This window comes from Homo sapiens, chromosome 7 (genome assembly GCF_000001405.40).
Source record: "Homo sapiens chromosome 7, GRCh38.p14 Primary Assembly".
Lineage (NCBI taxonomy): Eukaryota > Metazoa > Chordata > Mammalia > Primates > Hominidae > Homo > Homo sapiens.
This window is the reverse complement of record NC_000007.14, coordinates 23,159,605-23,179,515: the sequence shown is the minus strand read 5'-3', so window position 1 is coordinate 23,179,515 and position 19,911 is coordinate 23,159,605. Positions and strand designations below refer to the sequence as shown.

Here is a 19,911-nt window from a genome sequence, read left to right as displayed (position 1 = left end):
AAAACTATTATGCCTTCTATGTCAAAGACTATGAAAAAAAGAAAAAAACTTGAGTTCACACTGATAATCTCCAATTTCAATCCAAAATCACATGATTCATTTTATTTTCCTCTATTTTTAACTCCATTGATAACAAGAAACTTGGCTTTCATTAACCTTAGTATATTTATTTTATTACCACCTTGTGTTAACCAGTATTGCTTTGTAGCCACTGACTTCTCATTCCTGCACATGTCAGCATGTGTAAGGACTTTGCTGGGATCAAATACCTAAAATAATACCAGTGGTGACTGAAACTTAAGTGAGGGTAAGCCCAGTGCTTGGTGAAGGTAGAGAGGGGCAAGGCCAGAATGCCGGTTGAGACTGTCTAGGTGGAGTGTGTGTGAGACAATGAGAGCCTAGGGCTTGCAGGACTTGGTAGTGATCGGTTTGGTGATGGGTATATATAGGTGGAAATCAGGAGAGTGGGGTTACAGGAAGGAAACTTCTGATTTCTTCAAGATGGCAGAGGAAAAATACTGCTGCCTCCCCTTCCAATTGGATGAGGCAACTGTCTCGACTTGATAGGAGATAGGATTCCTCCCCAATAAAAAGGAATGAGAGACACTTCAGATTCTAGGACATCAGGTACAGAGAGGGCTTATGCTTATTGAATGGTGAGTCAAACATCCCAGAAAAATACCTATGGATCTCTTATGGACTAGCAACAAAAATAGTTGGCCATCTCCTCATCATATAATGAAGTTCATTGATTAAGCTCACCCTTGTACCCCTGAATTATCAATTTTCAGATGTCTCATTTAAATCCAAATGCACAGTCAGGGACTAGACATTTGAAGGCAGATGCCAACAGGAAAGAGCAAAGCAAAGAAACAGAAAAAGAAGTTAGAGGAAACAAAAACACTAAAATATTTTTAAAATTTAAAGAAACTAAAATATCATCAGAGAGGATAACATGAAACAAGAATGGCATACTATATAAAAGAACAATTATAGAAATAAAGTACTCTTGGAAAACGTAGATAGTGGGAACAAATTAAAGAAGGTTAGAAGATAAAGTCTGAGGGAATTTCTATAAGATTCAAACTAGATCTTGAACCCCATTTTAAATCTGTTATGAGAGAGGGCGTAAAGCTCTGGAGAGTAAAAAGATTTCTAGTTAATAAGGGCAACATTTCAAACAATTTCCCAGCACAGACTTTTTTAAATAAAATTTTTATTTTTTCTAAAGTAGTGTGAATCATCTTGGGAAGGAGGAAGGTGAGAAAGATAAAAGTGGATTCAAGCTTTTTGAAGTCTTTTGAGGCAACTGTAAAGAGGGAGGAGGCTATTTAAAGGAAGGATTTATCAAACGCTGAATGATGCCACCTGTAAAATGTCCTTTCATTAAAAGAACAGATTATTTGGACTTAAGGGTCCAAATAATGACTCTCAGTGAGAGCTGGTTTGGTGCCATGTGGGAGTAAATTGGATTTTCTCAAGTCTTTGGTATAACCTTAGAAAGCAAAATTTCGTCTAAATACCTCCTTTACCCATGCATATGTAGCAAATCCAAAATTTTTGCTGTTAACAGTATATATGGCAAAAGGAATATAGACTGCTTGGTGGAATAATTGTTTATTAAACGGCTGATTTTGATTTTGTTAGCAATATTGTCATGTCAAAATAATTCATGACTTAAAATTTTCATGGGATGATATGTCAAGTTTTTGCCAGCTGGACCACAAAGTCACAAGTATATGTTTTGTTTTGTTTTTTTCAAATAGCAACAATTTTTTTAAGATGCTAAACTTTTCTGACCGAATTGTGATTTTTGAAAGCATAAACTTACTTTGTCATCAAAATAATATCATTGCAAAGGATATAACATTAACTTATCAAATGTCTACTAAAAAGCAAGCAGAGCACTTTACAGGACAGGGAGTTTTGGGCAACAAAATAGAAAATGTGCTTGTCAGTATGGTGAGTGTACTTTTACGCACTATCCTGATATTGACAATTCTGTAGAAATTTCCAAGGCAGAAAAAGACACTAATTGGGAATTATGATACAGATTACTAAGGAAAAAAACCACTTCATTATAATCCACATCAAACCTGTGTATGTATTTACTATAGTGTGTTCTAGTCAATTGACATAGCCTAAAAGGAAATGCTGGTGTACTTAAAATATCTTAGACAGGTACTGTATATTCTACATAGGAGATTGTCAAATTATATAGCTATATTGTAATATAATAAATGGATATTTCACTCTCAAAAAATTAAACTAGCCACATTTTTCAATAGAGTGCAAAATTGAAAACCCTACTAAAAATGTTCAGAATAATCAAATCTAGAGACAGAAAGTAGATTAGTGGTTGCCTAGGGCTATGGTGTTTGGGAGGTTTTCTGTGTTGAACAGCATCTCCCCAAATTCATGTCTATCCAGAAGCTCAGAATGTGTCCTCGTTTGGAAATGGGGTCTTTACAGGTGTAATTAAAATAAGGTCATACTGGATTGCGGGCCCTATGTTGTCCTTTTTTTGTTTGTATTTTGCTTTGAGAAGGTGTCTTGCTCTGTCACCCAGGCTGGAATGAAGTGGCGCAATCTCAGCTCACTGCAACCTCTGCCTCCCAGGTTCAAGCAATTCTCCTACCTCAGCCTCCTGAGTAGCTGGGACTACAGGTGCACACCACCATACCTGGCTAATTTTTGTATTTTTAGTAGAGACGGGGTTTTGGCATGTTGTCCAGGCTGGTCTCAAACTCCTGACCTCAGGTAATCCACCCGCCTCGGCCTCCCAAAGTGCTGGGATTAAGGGCGTGAGACACAGCGCCCAGCTTTTTTTTTTTTTTTTTTAATGAGACAGGGTCTCAGTCTGTCACCCAGGCTGGAGTGCAGTGGCACAATCATAGCTCACTACATCCTTGAACTCCTGGGCTCAAGTGATCCTCCCACCTCAGCCTTCTGAGTAGCTAGAACTGCAGGTATATACCACACCTGCTAACTTTTTATTTTTTTGTAGAGACAGGGTCTTGAACTCCTAGCCTCAAGTGATCCTACTGCCTCCACCTCCCAAAGTGTTGAAATTACCGGCCTGAGCCACTGTGTCTGGCTCCTATGTTGTCCTTATAAGAACACCATGTGAAGATACAGAGACACACAGGGAAAAAGCCCATGCGAAGACAGAGACAGAGACTGAAGTGCTGCAGCTACAAGCCAAAGAATGCTGAGGATTGCTGGCAACCACCAGAAGCTAGGGGAGAGGCATGTGTGGTTTCTGCTGCAGACCCTCCAGAAGGAACTAACCCTGCTGACAACTTGATTTAGGAGTGCTGGCTTCCTGAATTGTGAGAGAATAAATTTCTGTTCTTTAAAGCCACCAAGTTTGCAGTAGTTTGTTATGGTAGCCCTAGGAAATACAGGGGCGTTGGGGGAAATAGGGAACCATTGCTAATCAGTACAAGGTTTCTTTTTGGGGTGATGAAAATGTTCTAAAATTGTGGTGATGGTTGCGTAACTCTGTGGATATATTAAAAACCACTGAATAATACATTTTTTTTTTTTTTTTTTTTTTTTTAGTCTTGCTCTGTTGCCCAGGCTGGGGTGCAGTGGCTTGATCTCAGCTCACTGCAACCTCTGCCTGTCAGGTTCAAGCAATCCTCCTGCCTCAGTCTCCTGAATAGCTGGGATTACAAGTGCACACCACCAGGCCTGGCTAATTTTTGTATTTTTAGTAGAGACGGGGTCTCATCATGTTGGCCAGGGTGGTCTTGAACTGCTGACCTCAAATGATCTACCCACCTTGGCCTCCCAAAGTGCTGGGATTACAGGCGTGAGCCACTGTGCCTGGCCTGAATAGTATACTTTAAATGGTGAATTGTATGGTATGTGAATTATATCTCAATAAAGCTGTACATTAAAAAACCCTACACAAATAGAAATATACCTATCATTATGTTTTTCCTAATTCCTTTTTGATTTAAACATTTTTAGGGTTTAAGACTATTATAACCTCTATATAAAGAAAACTGAAAATTAAGAGACACTGGTTCACAAATTCTAAAAACAACCATTACCTAAAATACTTGAAGAACAAACTGAGTGGCCTATTTTAAGTTAAAAAATATTTAATATTATCAGATAAAAACATTGATTGTGACAGCTTTACATGTTTCATTCCATACACAGTGAAAAAGGCAAAGTATTACTAGGAAGGAAATGAGTAGTTGGGTTTGTAAAAGATTTATTGATCACATAAAAGCAATGAATAGGAGATGACATATATCTAACTCATGATTACAAAACTTTTAGAGACAACTAGGTTAAATATTTCATGTTTTGGCTAAGGGAAAAGAATTCATGATCTCGTTAAAGAAGTTCAAAGTCAACACTGATATTGTACAACTACCAGTGCTTTTCTAATGATCTAGAAATTTGCTATAAATAGCTTTACTTTTTGCTAGTTAATCACTTACTATGATTGGGTTTTATTTAACAGTGAGGACTAAAGAGGCAGAATCCTTTTTTAACCACTGGATAAAACAGAGACATAAATTAATGATGGGTGCTAAGCTTTACATTTTATGTTAAAAAGATGGAATATATTTAAGTGGATTGAATATATTTCATGAGGAGTTGGACATATTAAACCCCCAAATCTGTTTAGGAAGTTTTGTGAGAAAGTGTGTATATGCCTTGACTCACTCTGGCTTACTTTTAAAATGGAATACATTTGGCACTAAATAAAATAAATAGACAAGCAAACTGTGAGACTAAGCTGCTCCATCTGAGTTGCCCATCTTGACTTACAATTCATACTATTTCTTAGTTCTTGACTGAGCACAAACAGACCTAACCGTATAGCACTTCTGTGATGCATGAAAATAGAATCTAGAGCTAAGATACTGCGCTTCACTGATGAGCCAATCTTCTATTCTGCCAAAATCATAGTTACAAATGTGAAATTCATTCAAGAAATTCACATTTTTAACAAATGCTTATACTTTTTCAAGTTTTCTTGCTAGATATGTTCTTGGTTTTGTGGCCAGCTAAAATATGATCTTTGAATTAAGGAAATCCATATAAAAGAAACATCTATTTTATAGGAACCTCATTTCACTTGAAACTTTCTTTACCAAAACACCAAACCAAAACTTTGTCACCAAACTCCTGGAACAAAGCACTGGTGGCTATATTTTAGAGTCTCTGATGAGTCTGAAGTCCACTCATTTTTCATGTTTCAAGGGTCTCTTCATTTGCTCCACAAGTATCGACAACACAAATTAAACAACTTGTGACTGGAAAAGCACGAACTTTGGAGTTGGCAACCCATTTGTCTGTTTCGGTATTATATTCGAGAATGTGTCCTAATCGACCAACACCCTGAAAACCAGCCAAGACATAAACTATAGAGCCAACTGCTGCACATTTCACTGTTACACCCTTCCATGGCATTGGTGAGACCATCTTCCATTCGTTCAACTTAATATCGTAATATTCCACATTGTCCAGACCACCTTCAAAAGAATAAAACATGAACAACATGAAAAACTATATCAACAATTCTAAGGTTTCTTAAAGTAATAACTTTTTGTATTTTTCCAATATTTTATTGTGAAAAATGTCAAACACACAGAAAAACTGTAATAATTTTACAGTGAATGTCCACATAGCCACCACCTAAATTCTTACTCTTAACACAATAGACATTTAATATTTCTTTTTAAATATTGATTTTTTTCTACAAAATTAAACATGTTTTATCTATTCTGGAAAAATGCAAAATAAACCAATCGGTGATTTCCCCTCTGATTAACTTTGATTATAATTACTCAAATGTCCTTCTTTTTCCTCCTTTTAGCACTTTATGGAAAATAGCAATGGACAGGGACAGAAGAAGGAAAAGAAGTTACTGGTACACTTAAGTGATGCTTAAAGTACTGACTAAATTGAAGCTTGTGTCTAGATTCAGTTCCGACTCCCTTTCATTTAAGACAATTATTTAAGATTCTTTAGTACATTATTTATGAAAACAAAATGCCAAATTTAGTCATTTAAAAATTACAATATTGATATTTTCATGCAATGTTTAAAAATATTTAGGAAACTTTACCATTTAGGACCTGGATACAAGCCTTAAAACTTGTATTTAAAAAGTTTTTAAAGGTTTTTTAAAGTTCAAATATTTCTATTGCTCAATAGTTCTTAAGCTGGTGCGACATCATTCCCCAGGAGGTATCTGGGAATGTATAGGAGCCATCTAAAATTGTCACAATGACTGGTGACTACTGCGACATTTCATAAACAGGAATGTTTAACATCCTGCGATATTTTATCAAGTATGTTAATTCCCAGAAACTATAAAAATAGATATAATAATATACATGGTAAATGCTTCTATCTAGATTTTTAAAAATGCTTCAATAATTTAAGGAAGTATCAGCAAACTCATCAGGAAAGTGGAACAGTGAATTAACATCACATACCTAAACCATTCTGACCACCCACAGCAAATATCTTGTCTTTTACAAATACCAGCCCATGATTCTTCCTGGCTTCAATCATTGGACACAGCTCAGTCCATCTGAAAAAATTAAAGTTTTTAGTGTGCTTGTTTACAGGAAGTAAAAGAACTCATACTAATGAGAAAGGTCTATTATTCTAATTAAGTGCTCATTTACTACTCACATATGTGTACATATACGCACAAAATGTCTAGAAGGGTAGAAAACAAAAGTTGAACAATGATTATGGGTAATTTATTAATACACGGGGAAAACATGGATTTTATTCCTTTCAATTCTGATAGGATATAAGAAAATGAGGATATCTATTAAAAAACACGTTTTTAGAGGAAATCCATTTCCTGAGGTTCATAAAAACTTGTAATATGGGAACAAAAAAGAAGAGGAAGATGCTTCGAAGATAAATAATTCTTTTTTCTTTCTTCACACCTCTGCTGGCAGGAAATATTAACTAGTTCTATCACACCTAGCTTTAATTATTATTTATATATGCGTAAGTAAAACACAAACTTATAATGGGCCTCAGGCAATCAGGAAATTAATAGTATCTGTTACTATTCACATGTCCATCTTTAAATCTACACTAAGAACTTTATGCTGCTCTGGTAACAAAAAAGTACTATCATTCTGTCAAGTTTAATACCTCATGTTGCTCTGTTCACAGCCACTAATATATAAATAATGAAACTGAGAATATAAATGTGGACCCAAGTGTTAAAGGATATTAATTCACAGGTTGCAGCATTATGCATATATACACAGACAATCGAGTTTAGTTATTTTTTTCTGAGATTTAATACATTCTTCTGCATACACTCCCAAGACTGACATTTGTGATTGTGAAGGTGGTACTGGCACACAGGCTTGTGCTTTCAGCAGCTAACTTAAACCAAGAGACGCCAAACAACAGTAAGGACAACAACAAAAGGGAAACTTGGCATAAGAGTAACTCTCTATAATTATTGTTTATATCTCTTCTTTAAAATAATTTGATGGCCGGCCGGGCGCGGTGGTTCACGCCTGTAATCCCACCACGTTGGGAGGCCGAGGCAGGCGGATCATGAGGTCAGGCGATCGAGACCATCCTGGCTAACACGGTGAAACCCCGTCTCTATTAAAAATACAAAAAATTAGCCAGGCGTGGCGGCAGGCGCCTGTAGTCCCAGCTACTCAGGAGGCTGAGGCAGGAGAATGGCGTGAACCCAGGAGGCGGAGCTTGCAGTGAGCTGAGATCACGCCACTGCACTGCAGCCTGGGCGACAGAGGCAGACGCCGTCTCAAAAAACAAAAAACAATTTGATGAATTCAACTTTATAAAACATAATTAAGGCACAATGATTAACTCTGAAGTATTAACAATTCTTTTGTCTTACATTTATGTATTGTTTTAAAAATGGTTTGACAGTCACCACTCTCATTTTCAAAGTTCTCTGTTAAGGTGAGGTGGACAGCATGGCTCCTGTTTTTAGGAAAAACACACACGCTCATCCAGGTGAAGTGACCGGCATACAGCTCGGAAGTGGGACAGCAGTAAAAACTAGGTCTTCACTGCCCTGCACGTAGTGAGATTTATAGACTCAGCTATCATCATGCATTAAAACACAGTATTTGACTTGGAAAAATTCCATTTACATACCACTTTCTTCTCCAAATATAATGTTAATGATATAAAAAGACAGCATGTCTTTATGTATATCTAAATCTCCTGAAGGTTTAGAAAAAACTTTCACAAATTCCCCTTCCTCCTATAATTCACATGCAGAGTACATACTAGGTCCCCGCTATCTGCAATCTGAAGTTTAATGTTTAGAAGCGTTTTTTCGCCTGTAATCCCAGCACTTTGGGAGGCCAAGGTGGGCAGATCACAAGGTCAAGAGATGGAGGCCATCCTGGCCAACATGGTGAAACCCCGTCTCTACTGAAAATACAAAAATTAGCCCGTGTGGTGGCGTGCGCCTGTAATCCCAGCTACTCAGGAGGCTGAGGCAGGAGAATCGCTTGAACCTGGGAGGCAGAAGTTGCAGTGAGCTGAGATCGTGCCACTGCATTCCAGCATGGTGACAGAGTGAGACTCCGTCTCACAAAAAAAAAAAAAAAAAGTCATTTCTTAAAATTCTGACCGCTCAAACTGTGTCACATTGTTTCCATAGACATAATTTCTTTCTTTCTTCAGTTACTTTATTATGAGCTTCTGCTCCTCTCCATCTTTTTTAAAACTGATTTTAAAAATGTGATACATAATACATGTACATATTTTTATGGTACCTGTGATATTTTGACACATGTATACAATGTGTAATGATCAAGTCAGAGTAACTGGGATATCCAGCACCTGAAACATTTATCTTTCCTTTTGTTTCTTTTTGGGCTAGGGAAGGAACCCAGGCCTCCCATGTTGCTGCTGAGGAATATCTTTTCTTTGTGTTGGGAACATTCCAATTCTTCTCTAGCTATTTTGAAATATACAATAAATTATTGTTAACTATAGTCTCCCTACTGTACTACTGAATATTAGAACTTATCCTATCTAACTGTATTTCTGTACTTGTTAACCAACCTCTGATAACCATCATTCTACTCTCTACCTCCATGAGATCAACATTTTTAGCTCCCACATGAGTGACAACATGTGTTATTTGTGTTTCTATGGTCCATAGGCTTAGTTTTTCAGCTTCCAATTAAACACATTCTAATTATCAAACACTTAAAATGTCAAAATTGGGAAGAAATTCTTATTAAAAAAAACTTGGCTGGCTAGATAACTTTTTGTTTTTATTTTTGTTTTTGTTTTTGAGACAGAGTTTCGCTCTTGTTGCCCTGGCTGCAGTGCAATGGCACGATCTCAGCTCACTACAACCTCCACCTCCCGGGTTCAAATGATTCTCCTGCCTCAGCCTCCTGAATAGCTGGGATTACAGGCACGCGCCACCACGCCCGGCTAATTTTTTTTGGTATTTTTAGACGAGACAGAGTTTCACCATGTTGGTCAGGCTGGTCTCGAACTCCTGACCTTAGACGATCCACCAGCCTCGGCCTCCCAAAGTGCTGGGATTACAGGTATGAACCACCACACCTGGACTAGGTAACATTTTTAAAAGGAAATAATATAACATTTATTTTGAGAGTTGGATAATTATATTCACACTAGCTTTTCATTTGTGAAAATTTAAGGGCATTGAAGGGAACATAGAGAATTCAAATTTAAGCTCAATATATATAAAATGAAAGAAATGCTAGGTCTTGTAAGTTTTTAAATATTCCTGAAACTGAATATTCACCTAGTTTTAAAAAATACAGAAGCTGCAGAACTCCTTTATATTTTTACTTTGAACAAAAAAGTAAGTAAAAAATCAATATTAATTTACATTGATAGTGCCTGAATAAAGATGTAAAAATTTAGAAACCTAGAGTTTTTATGGTTATGGCTTCTCTTTTAAGAGATTTTTTAGAAATAAAAAATAATTAGCAGAATGAATCAGTTTTCCAACTAGTATGCTGTAACACTTTTTGAGCCTAGGGTTTATGGGAAGTAAGGTAGAGGTTCACATAAAAGGGAGCAAAGTTGGTAAACATCTTTAGCAAAAGACAAATTTCAAGACAACTTGCTTTTCTATTATTTGCACTGGAAAGAAGTTATTGATTATGCTTCCTTAAATCTTTTAAAAATATGTGGGAATCATAGATAAATGCACATAATTAATCATATTTTATAATTAAGCTCTTATTTTTTTATTTTTTATTTTTTTTTGAGATGGAGTCTTGCTCTGTCACCCAGGCCGGAGTGCTGTGGCACAATCTTGGCTCACTGCAACCTCCGCCTCCCAGGTTCAAGCAATTTTCCTGCTTCAGCCTCCCCAGTAGTGGATTACAGGCACGCGCCACAACACCCAGCTAGTTTTTGTATTTTTAGTAGAGACGGGATTTTGCCATGTTGGCCAGGCTGATCTCATACTCCTGACCTCAAGTGATCTGCCTGCCTCAGCCTCCCAAAGTGCTGGAATTATAGGCATGAGCCACCATGCCTGGCATCTTATTTCTTAATTTTAAAAAAAGCAGTAGCTGGAGTTGAAGACTTCCATGTTTTGTAGTTTGGCAATATTTCCTAAATATAAAACTTTAAGCACGAGAGTTTTGATGCAACTCTGGCATAGCATTTTAGTGAACGTATTCACCCAGTAACTTGTTCTAGTAAGGGAAGAACGATGGGCAATCCAGCCATATGATCAAGTGACTTTTCTTATCAAAGCTCTTTGGATGTTTCCATAAAAGGTACGACTAGGGTATCATCTGTTTTATGTCCTCATCAGCTTTAATGTCACTACTCACAACCCGTGCCCTCATGCCCTCTCCATTATTCAATGATTAGCACATTTCCTTTGGCTACATTGAATGTGTTCCATCATTAACTACAAGGTCAGAAAAACTGGCTAACCAGTTATTTCTTTAGCATTTTACCTTTTTGACACACTTTGCCTTTTTAAAAGCAGTTGATTTAAGAATAATTTTATTTAATAAACATGAATCTAAATGTACTTAGGAAGTTTACACCTAAAAAGAACTAGGGAGGCATGATTTATTAATGCCATGAGCCAATATCTAATATTTCTACTTAAGGATAAATTTATTGCTGGTCATAAACTCCCCCCTCCTCCTCTACATTTCCTGACCGCTCAAACAAAAACATTTTATGAGTTGACGAATCAATCAGATGTGTCTCATTCATAGGCATTTATTGCACGCAGAACCAGAAAGAAAGAGGTTCCCATGGGGTGTAAGTTCAAGCCATTTCTGGTGTAAGGGAAAGGTCCAGGTCATAAATATGCCACTGACCCTAGCACACTCAAAAGTTTATATACACTCTTCACTCAAGGACAAAATTCTTCTGTTGGGTTCCTCTGGTCTTTTGACATCTCCTACAGAGCTTATAGAATACAGTTAACTGTAAAATAAATTTTAAATAGATACATACGTTTCTGTGGCAGGATCATAAACTTCACAGGAATTAAGCACTCTCCCAGAAACATTGTTTCCTAAACTTCCACCACAAACATAGATTAGGCCATTGGCTTCCACCATCCCATGGCTGCAGCGCTGGGTCAGCATGCTGGGCTTTGTGTGCCAGCTTTCAGTTCTCGTATCATAGCACTCAAATAAATACAGAGCTGAGTTTCCTGTAAAAGAAAAAGGCCCCATCATGCTTAACTTTAGTGTGTGCGGGGGTTTGGAAAGAACTGACTGTAGATCTTATTAGTTAAGGAAGGAAGAATTTAGGGTCATACGGCCATTTTCATACTCAATCAACAACAACAAAGTGTAGGAATAGTTTAAGAAAACGCTAATAATCCTGTTTGTATAGACCCTGGAAAACATCCTTAAAAGGATCTGTTGGAAATACTTATTTATTGGTAATTAAACTTTAGAAAAATAAATTTGATTTCAAAAGAAAAATTAAATAAGAAGCCTTATATATGTCTTCAAGCCCCATTATGCATGACGGGAATTATCCATACTTCAAATGTTTATATAAAGTGGAAAAGCATAATAGTTCCTTACAGATGGTAGACCCATACCTTAAAATATGAAAACTACTATCTGATCATATTCTTATTTAATATTCTGGAATAGCTACAGCACCATTAACAAAATTATATTTCCTAACTATTCTCAGTTAGTGTGGTATATCCTGAAATCACACTGGTCCCTGCTTGAGTATATTCTCAAAATATTGATGTATATTTCTGATGTATTTTGATTACACAATTTAAAGGCAAAACATACATTCATCATGTTTTGAAACTTCTACACACTGTAGGAGTTCAATAAAAAATTTTAGAAATGATACTATTAAAGTTTAAGTGCTTTTTTTTTTCCTTCCCAAGGACAAAAAATTTTAGAAGTTACCAAACTATTTCTCATCTCCCACCATTCTGGGCTAATATCAAATGATTTAAAAACGACAACACCTTTATAATTCTGCGTTGCAACTAAGGTCTGTGAAAAGTAAAGATCAGAAAATAACAACTAGAAGAAGCAATGGTCATGACCAAAAATAACTTATTTTTAACTTTTTAAACATTCCTGATTTGGTAGGTTCAGTGGGTGGACACTATAGGAAAATATATAGTATATAGTAGATTAAAAAAAAACTACTACTTAAGCTAAAAACACACTTAGCAAAGGCTGAAGAAATGAAGTTATCTGCAGTACCACAGAACAGTTACCGTCTATCATCTTTAGGATTTATTGTATTTGAAATATTCTACATTATAACAGTCTGTGAAGAATGCTTTTAAAGAGAGGAAATGGTTACATTTAGGAAATAGTGATTTTTCTTGTATTCATTTGACATATAGTTGAGGGTAAAAACATAAGTATGCAGACCAAAAGTATAACCATTTACGGTCTCCCTAGTTTTCTTTATTAGCCCATTATTTAAGCTAAAGAAATTACTTGAAAATGAAAGCATACAAAAGCTATTATGTATCTAGCCTGCACCTATTCATTTAGAAAAATTATTCATTTAGAAAAAGAGCACTACTGGACACTAACACACTATCCAATAAGGTTTTTATATCCACACCCACATCCCATTCTGCTCAATAAGCATAAATACCACTACAGTCATTAAAAACTTAAAGAATAAAACAAATGAAAAAGAGCATTCTTTTTTCTAATAAAAAGAAAGCAAATATAATACAAATTTTAAAAGCCTGAATATAGTAACGAGTTCTTAAAGAGTCTATAAGTTGAACTCTGAAATCTTTAAAACAAATAATATTATGCAGCCCAAATAATTTAGAACTATAATTCAGATAATGTCAACTAATGCTTCATTATGATAAAAAAAATGGGCCATTAATCTAGGAAGCTAAAGTTCTGTAATTTAATGGTTTGTAAAGCAACGACATAAACCTTCAGGGAGATGAGCTCTAAAATGTGACAAACACATATTTAAATTACCAAGAAAGTATCTGGACAAATAATACCAGCTGTTTATTTAAATATGAAAGCCAAGATACTTGGCTTTAAAGCATATGCCCCAAACCAAAATACTTAAGAAGTCCTTACCTACTTCTGAACCTCCAGATGTATAAATTTTGCCTTCTGCAGCACATGCAGCAAGGCTGTCTCGAGGTGTCGGAGGACCCAGTTTCGAATACCAGCTATCCTTCACTACATTATAGCAGTCCATTCGCTTTATTGGGAAAAGCTGAGAGCCTCCCAAAATGTATACTACATTGTCCCAAAACACGCATGCTGCATCTCTTCGTTTTTCAAAGGGGCAGCGGATGTCTGTCCAGCTATAATCCTGTAGCAGAAAAGGATGGGAAGCTTTCAGTAAGGAAAAAAATATAACTGAAAAGGACAATGCAAAGATACAGTCAAAAAACATATAAGAATATGTTAATTTATTAGACTACACATACAAATGTTTGGCTTGAGACTATTACCAATTTAATCTTGTGTGGTTTCTGCAGAATGTTGATTAGATGGGGCGGAGGGCAAAAGGCAGGCACATGACTGCTTTGGGTCCTTTCTGGCTCTAAAATAAACTTAAATATATTTGGATATACCATCACCACCCTGTCTTCTATTCCTTCTGTTATTGAAGACAATACAAGAAGATTCTAAAATAAGTTGTTTTATTTTTTAAAAAAGCTTTTTCAAATGTAAAGGTCTCCATCCCTTCCCTGCCAGATATATAGTGTGATATAAGTAATCAATGGATAATATGAAGCTCAAATTGCCATTATCCTACTGATAGTCTAAAGCCAGAAGGTATTTTGTGGACTTCTTTATTAATTTTCTATATTGAGTTGAGCCAATGTAGTCAGCTGGACTTTAAAACTGTTGATGTTTATAAGGAAATACTTGAGTAATCTCTTCTAAGTACTCTGGATACTCACTTTTCACCCCAATGATTAGAAATACACACCTATCAGTACTTGACAGTAAGGGCTGTTCACAGCATCTGTTTCTTCACTATGTTTGATAGCATCGAAGAATGCTTGTGCCGCCCTTCCATGTATGTGCATGGGGGGATGCCCCTAAAGTTATAGTATCTTGGACCCTCTCTTTTTTTGAGATAGGAAGCTACAGCGTTCCTGCTATTTTCTGAAAATAATCAGGGTCAGATAGGAATTCATACCATTCCCAATCTCACCAAGGAAAGCACTATGTGTGATTATTGAGTTTCCTTCGAGAAAATCTGACTGATAACCTATGATCGTATCCAGTGTTTCAGGCATTCATTGGATTAAAGTATCACAGAACATCAGGAATGGTCTCTTAGGAAAGGAAGAGCCCCTAATGTAGAATACTTTGACTCCTGACAAAGATGAACATTTTGCTTTTTAGGTGACCAGGAAAATAGAGCCTTAATAGCTTAGGATGTTATTCTCTAATTAATATCCCCGTAGGTTACTCAGTGGTGGGCACACAAAACAATGTGATAAACATAACATGTTCGTGAAACTTCAATTCCACTCAATAAACACTTGAAAAACTGGGGGAAAATATTTTCACTTGTTCTCTTAGAGAAACTGTATACCACAGAATGAAATAAAGAGATAAAATAATGATCATATTGTACAGGGAACAATCCCTCAAAGATAAACTAAATCATTCTCTTAAATGTTCTTCATATCTACTCATAATACCTATCTAATCAGGTTTATGTAGCAGAGAATTACAATTTCATTAACTGCATTAACTCAGTGAATCTCAAATCTTGTCACTCTTACCCCTAATTTATTTGACATTTATTACTTGAGAGCTATATGGGAATTTTTTTTTTTTTTTGCTGATTATAGTACCTAGATACTGTATGTAGTTGGCGGGGGGTGGGGTGGGGAAGAATAGATGGGAAGTCAGTCTTGTCAGCTCAGTGGCTATGACTGTTGGGCATTACCCTAGTGATGAAACTAGTTCCAACCTGGGCTTGCAGGTGAAGGCAGTGCTATTTATTGCTCCCTGCAATAGGGAAATCTACAGGGAAATCTAGAGGAATATGCAGTTCTCATGTTAGCAAGAAGATGGACAAATAACAGTAGAGTCACAGATGGGACGGTATATGTGTGTGGGCAGGGTCAGGGAGCTGTTACCCTAAAAATATGATTTAATTCACTTAAGTTTTACTGAGTATCTATTCCATGCAAGTTCTTATACTTAGGTGCTGAGATGTGAAATGCGGAAAATTGGAAAGCCTGGAAAAGATATGGGTAGAAGGATTTCTTAAATTTTGATATATCTCTCATTATACACACGTACACATGTGGACACATCCATGTATAAAGTCCTATTTTCCTTGGTCCTAGTCAGCCTTTCTTGCCTCTGCTGTGATATGCCATGCTATACTTTTTTTCTAAGCTCAAGACTGCTTTCCTTTTTGTAGGTTTTCCTGATTTCTTTCTTCTGAATCCTTACCACTTGAAGTCCAGGCTTGATGACTGAACACTCCATTGTATCTTGCCCTATGTGATTTTCTAGCTGTAATACAATAGTTCTCATTGCTCCTACAAGAGTAAAAGCTTCGGGCCGGATGTGGTGGCTCATGCCTCTAATCCCAGCATTTTGGGAGGCAGAGGCAGGCAGATCACCTGAGGTCAGGAGTTCAAGACCAGCCTGGCCAACATGGTGAAACCCCGTCTCCACTAAAAATACAAAAAATTAGCCGGGCATGGTGGCAGGCACGTGTAATCCCTGCTACTCGGGAGGCTGAGGCAGGAGAGTTGCTTGAACCTGGGAGGCAGAAGTTGCAGTGAGCCGAGATCACGCCACCGCACTCCAGCCTGAGCAACAAGAGCGAAACTCCGTCTCCAAACGAGCAAAAAAAAAAGAGTAAAAGCTTCTTGGGAGTGATAAGTTCTAAATATTTTCTCTAAATGCCTCAAGGCAAAAGATCAGTGTGATATTTTCCTTCAAAGTAAGGACTGATTTTATATAATGTATTCTGAAAACACATAGATCCTCAAATAATAGAAATACTGTAGTAAAAAGGCAACCACAATCCAAAATGAAATACTTTTCATTTTTAATACCTGAGAACTTTATTTTGGATCATTTTGAGAGAAAATCGAGCCGAATTAGGGAAGGCAGGGTCTTAGGGAAAAAAGAAAGCAAAATTATCAAAACTTTAAGATTTCTTAGAGAAACCACAGGGAATCAATCCAACCTGAGTTTAAGATGACTAAATTACAAGTACTTTCTCTTAAGCCATTATTTGATATATCTTAGTTTCTAAGCGCTTTAAAAAAGGTCATACACCTATGGTGACAATCTACATGAAAAGCAAATTTATGTAGATGCCAGAACATTCCTAGAAGTAATTTCATGAGAAACACATAGAAACAGTTTTGGCTTCATTCATCTTACAAGGACACAAAGAATGTAGTTCAAAGGAACTGGGAAACTTGGGTATGAAGCCAGGCTCTGTATGGAGGAGCTATGGATCTCAATTAGGGTCACTTAACTTCTAAGGGACTTTAGTTTATCTGTACAACAAAATGACTGAATGACCAAAGGTCTCTTCCCTTTCAGTCCTAGCATCCAATGATCTTAGAATCCAAATGATTTAGGATGCATCCCTAACCAAATAGCTACTATTAATTTATTAGTTATTGAGTACTTACCTTTCCAGGAACTATGCTGAGATATTTTAAAACATCATCTTATTTAATTTCCTTAATAACTCTATAAGGTAATATACTCATTTACAGATAAGAAAACTAAGAGATATTAAGTAACTTACCAAAGGTCACATAATTAGAAAATGGTGAACCCAAGATCTTAATCTAAATCCATCTGACTCCAAAGCTGCGTCTTTAGCCCCTGCACTGCTTCTCTAAAAGTCTTTCATGGCCTACTAGAAAGAACAAAGGACTGGGAGTAGAGTGATCTGGGTTCCTCTTGTCACTGTTGTGTTTCTAGCAAAGTGATTCTGGGCACTTGAATTGTCATTGTTGGATCTCAACAGACTCATCTATAAAATCAGGAGGTTAGCAGGATGGCTGCTGAGGTCCTGCACAATCTCCGTATCTTTTCACTTATAAGCACAACGCTCAACTGCCAAAAGCACAGCTGTTGTGAAAATGAGTTTTTCTCCATATGTTTGTATAGTATTTGGCCCAGGGCTCAGCATACTGAGGGAATGTTTTCATTGAGTGATAGTTCACATTTGTAGAAAAGTATATATCATCCATTAGGGCCACCCTCATTTTTGACTCTGCAAATGTCAGAGACTGTAGATGCTGCACTCTGCTCCTGGTTTGTACCAGTTCTTCATTGCAGCACTATCTTTATGTTACACTGGCTCCAGCTGGCATCTTATCATTATGGCTCCTGGTTCTGTGGTGGCTGCACCACTGAAAACCAGAGGGACCTGTAACCAACCAGCCGGCAGTTCCTGGGGTTGAGGGCCAGGCTTTCATCTCCTGTTTTTGTAAATCCAAATAGTTTCCACTTTCATCCTTTGCTAGAGCAATTTTTCTCCTAGGAATTTATCCTAAAGAAAAAACTGGACAGTGTACAAAGCTGGCAGATATAAAGGTAATTCACTGCAGGAGTATTTTAACAGGAAAAAACTGTAAATCAACTAAATGTGTTTGATGAAGACAGGTATTAAATTATGGTGTATCCTTGTGATGGAATACTCTACAGCCCTTCAAAATGATGACATTCTCACTGATGTGAAAATATCTCCATAATAAAATGGTGAGAGTAAAATACAGTCTGTAAAATAGCATGTAGGCATGATCCCGTATTTGTAAAATGTAAGGACTGAAATGATGTTCACTAACTACTGATGACTGTCTTTGGACGTTGTGGGCACTTTGACTTTCTCCTTTATATCTTGCTATATTTTCTACAAAGAATATGTATTTTTTTAAAAAATAACAACGAAAATACAATGAATGGTACCAAAAATATGGTACCAGGAAAACAACTACTTTTGTCAGCAGAAGCCTATACTAGTGCTAAATGTTTTAACAGGAACATTTAATTCAAACTAATTTAAAGGCTCTAAGAATTGAGAAACACAAATAGCTATTATATTATGAGACTAAATTTAAACTATAGGACAGATTAGAGGCAGTCTTTGCTTTCCTTCCAAATAGCACGTTCTTAAGGGCACTCTGGTTTTCCAGAAGCAAACACTTGATCATGTCAAGTAATTCCATAGGATGTATACATATTTTGAAATATGCTCATTTTCAGTAGTCACATAAATATTACTGGAAACATATTAACCTCCTTAAGTCCAGAAAGAAATTTAGTAATTAGCCATTAGGAAAAATATCCTTGTAACTCAAATTCTTCAACAACAGTAACATTGTAGCTCAGTAGCTTCCACAGTTGGGGAGGAGGAGGGAGGTTGTGCTATTGCAGGCTGCTAGATAAAATCAGGCTTAATTAGCAACAAACAATATACAAATGGGCATTTCTTAGCTGTTAATGATTAGCTAAAATTAGCAAACAGTCCAAAGTGAGGCCAGTGGCAAGCTGAAAGGGAATTATTAAGAATCACTGCTGCTTTATAAAGTCACAAAATGTTCTTCCTGTCTCCACTCTCAAATTAAAACCACACCACCAAAAACCAAAAATCAAACCTAAGCTACTCAGAAACTCAATCATTAAATAAAACTCAGTCTGAAGTTGAGTAAGCATGACATGGATATTATGCTTGATAACAGTACTTGTCCTTTGAGTAGAAATAACATATTAGAGAAGTATATAGTATCCCTGTGCTGCTACCTTGCCAGTTATCTAAACAGATTGCCTTTAAGTGAACTTTGCCATGCAATTTTTAATCTTGGCGCAGCAAGGTATATTACACTTTAAATTATCTCAAATCCCAGAAAGCAATAGTATACTCATTTATAAAAACGTTCTCACCAATGAAACAAACATCTACTCTTTGTACAGAGTACAGGAGATGTCCCAGGTGTCTGGAAGAGTTCAGAAGATGAAGGGAAAAGCAAAGTGGGGAAGATGGTAAGCATTTTTGTATTTAAATATGGGAAGATTAGAAAACCCAAGGGTGACAGGGAGAATCTGACAGAGGAGTGAAGGAGAGCAAAGAAAGGAAAAAAGAGTCAGATGAACATAACTGACATTCACACAAATCCTGAGAAGATTTAAACTTTTTGGCTTTAGACCAGAAAACTGGTTTAGAAAGGCTAACTGATGGTGGGGCAAGGCTGTAATCCTAGCACTTTGGGAGGTTGAGGCAGGCAGATTGCTTGAGCTCAGTAGTTGACACCAGACTGGGCAACATGGTAAAACCCTGTCTCTACAAAAAATCTAAAAATTAGCAGGTGTAGTGGCATGTGCCTGTAGTTCCAACTACTCAGGAGGCTGAGGTGAGAGGACTGCTTGAGCCTGGGAGGTTGAGGCTGCAGTG

The 19,911-nt window shown here is 36.7% G+C and overlaps 1 protein-coding gene across 3 annotated transcripts in view; it reads right to left on the bottom strand.

Annotated features, from left to right (window-relative positions):
• The window catches only part of KLHL7 (kelch like family member 7), a 72,130-nt gene continuing 53,820 nt past the window's right edge, over positions 1,602-19,911 (bottom strand). For all 3 annotated transcript variants that reach the window (NR_033328.2, NM_001031710.3, NM_018846.5), the window contains 4 exons: positions 13,578-13,818; positions 11,479-11,680; positions 6,471-6,568; positions 1,602-5,501 (listed from right to left, as the gene is read on the bottom strand). Coding sequence is in view for 2 of the 3 variants with exons in the window: in NM_001031710.3 (NP_001026880.2) it covers positions 5,218-5,501; positions 6,471-6,568; positions 11,479-11,680; positions 13,578-13,818 (825 nt within the window). In the remaining variant the exon portion in view is untranslated. The remainder of the gene's footprint in view (positions 5,502-6,470; positions 6,569-11,478; positions 11,681-13,577; positions 13,819-19,911) is intronic.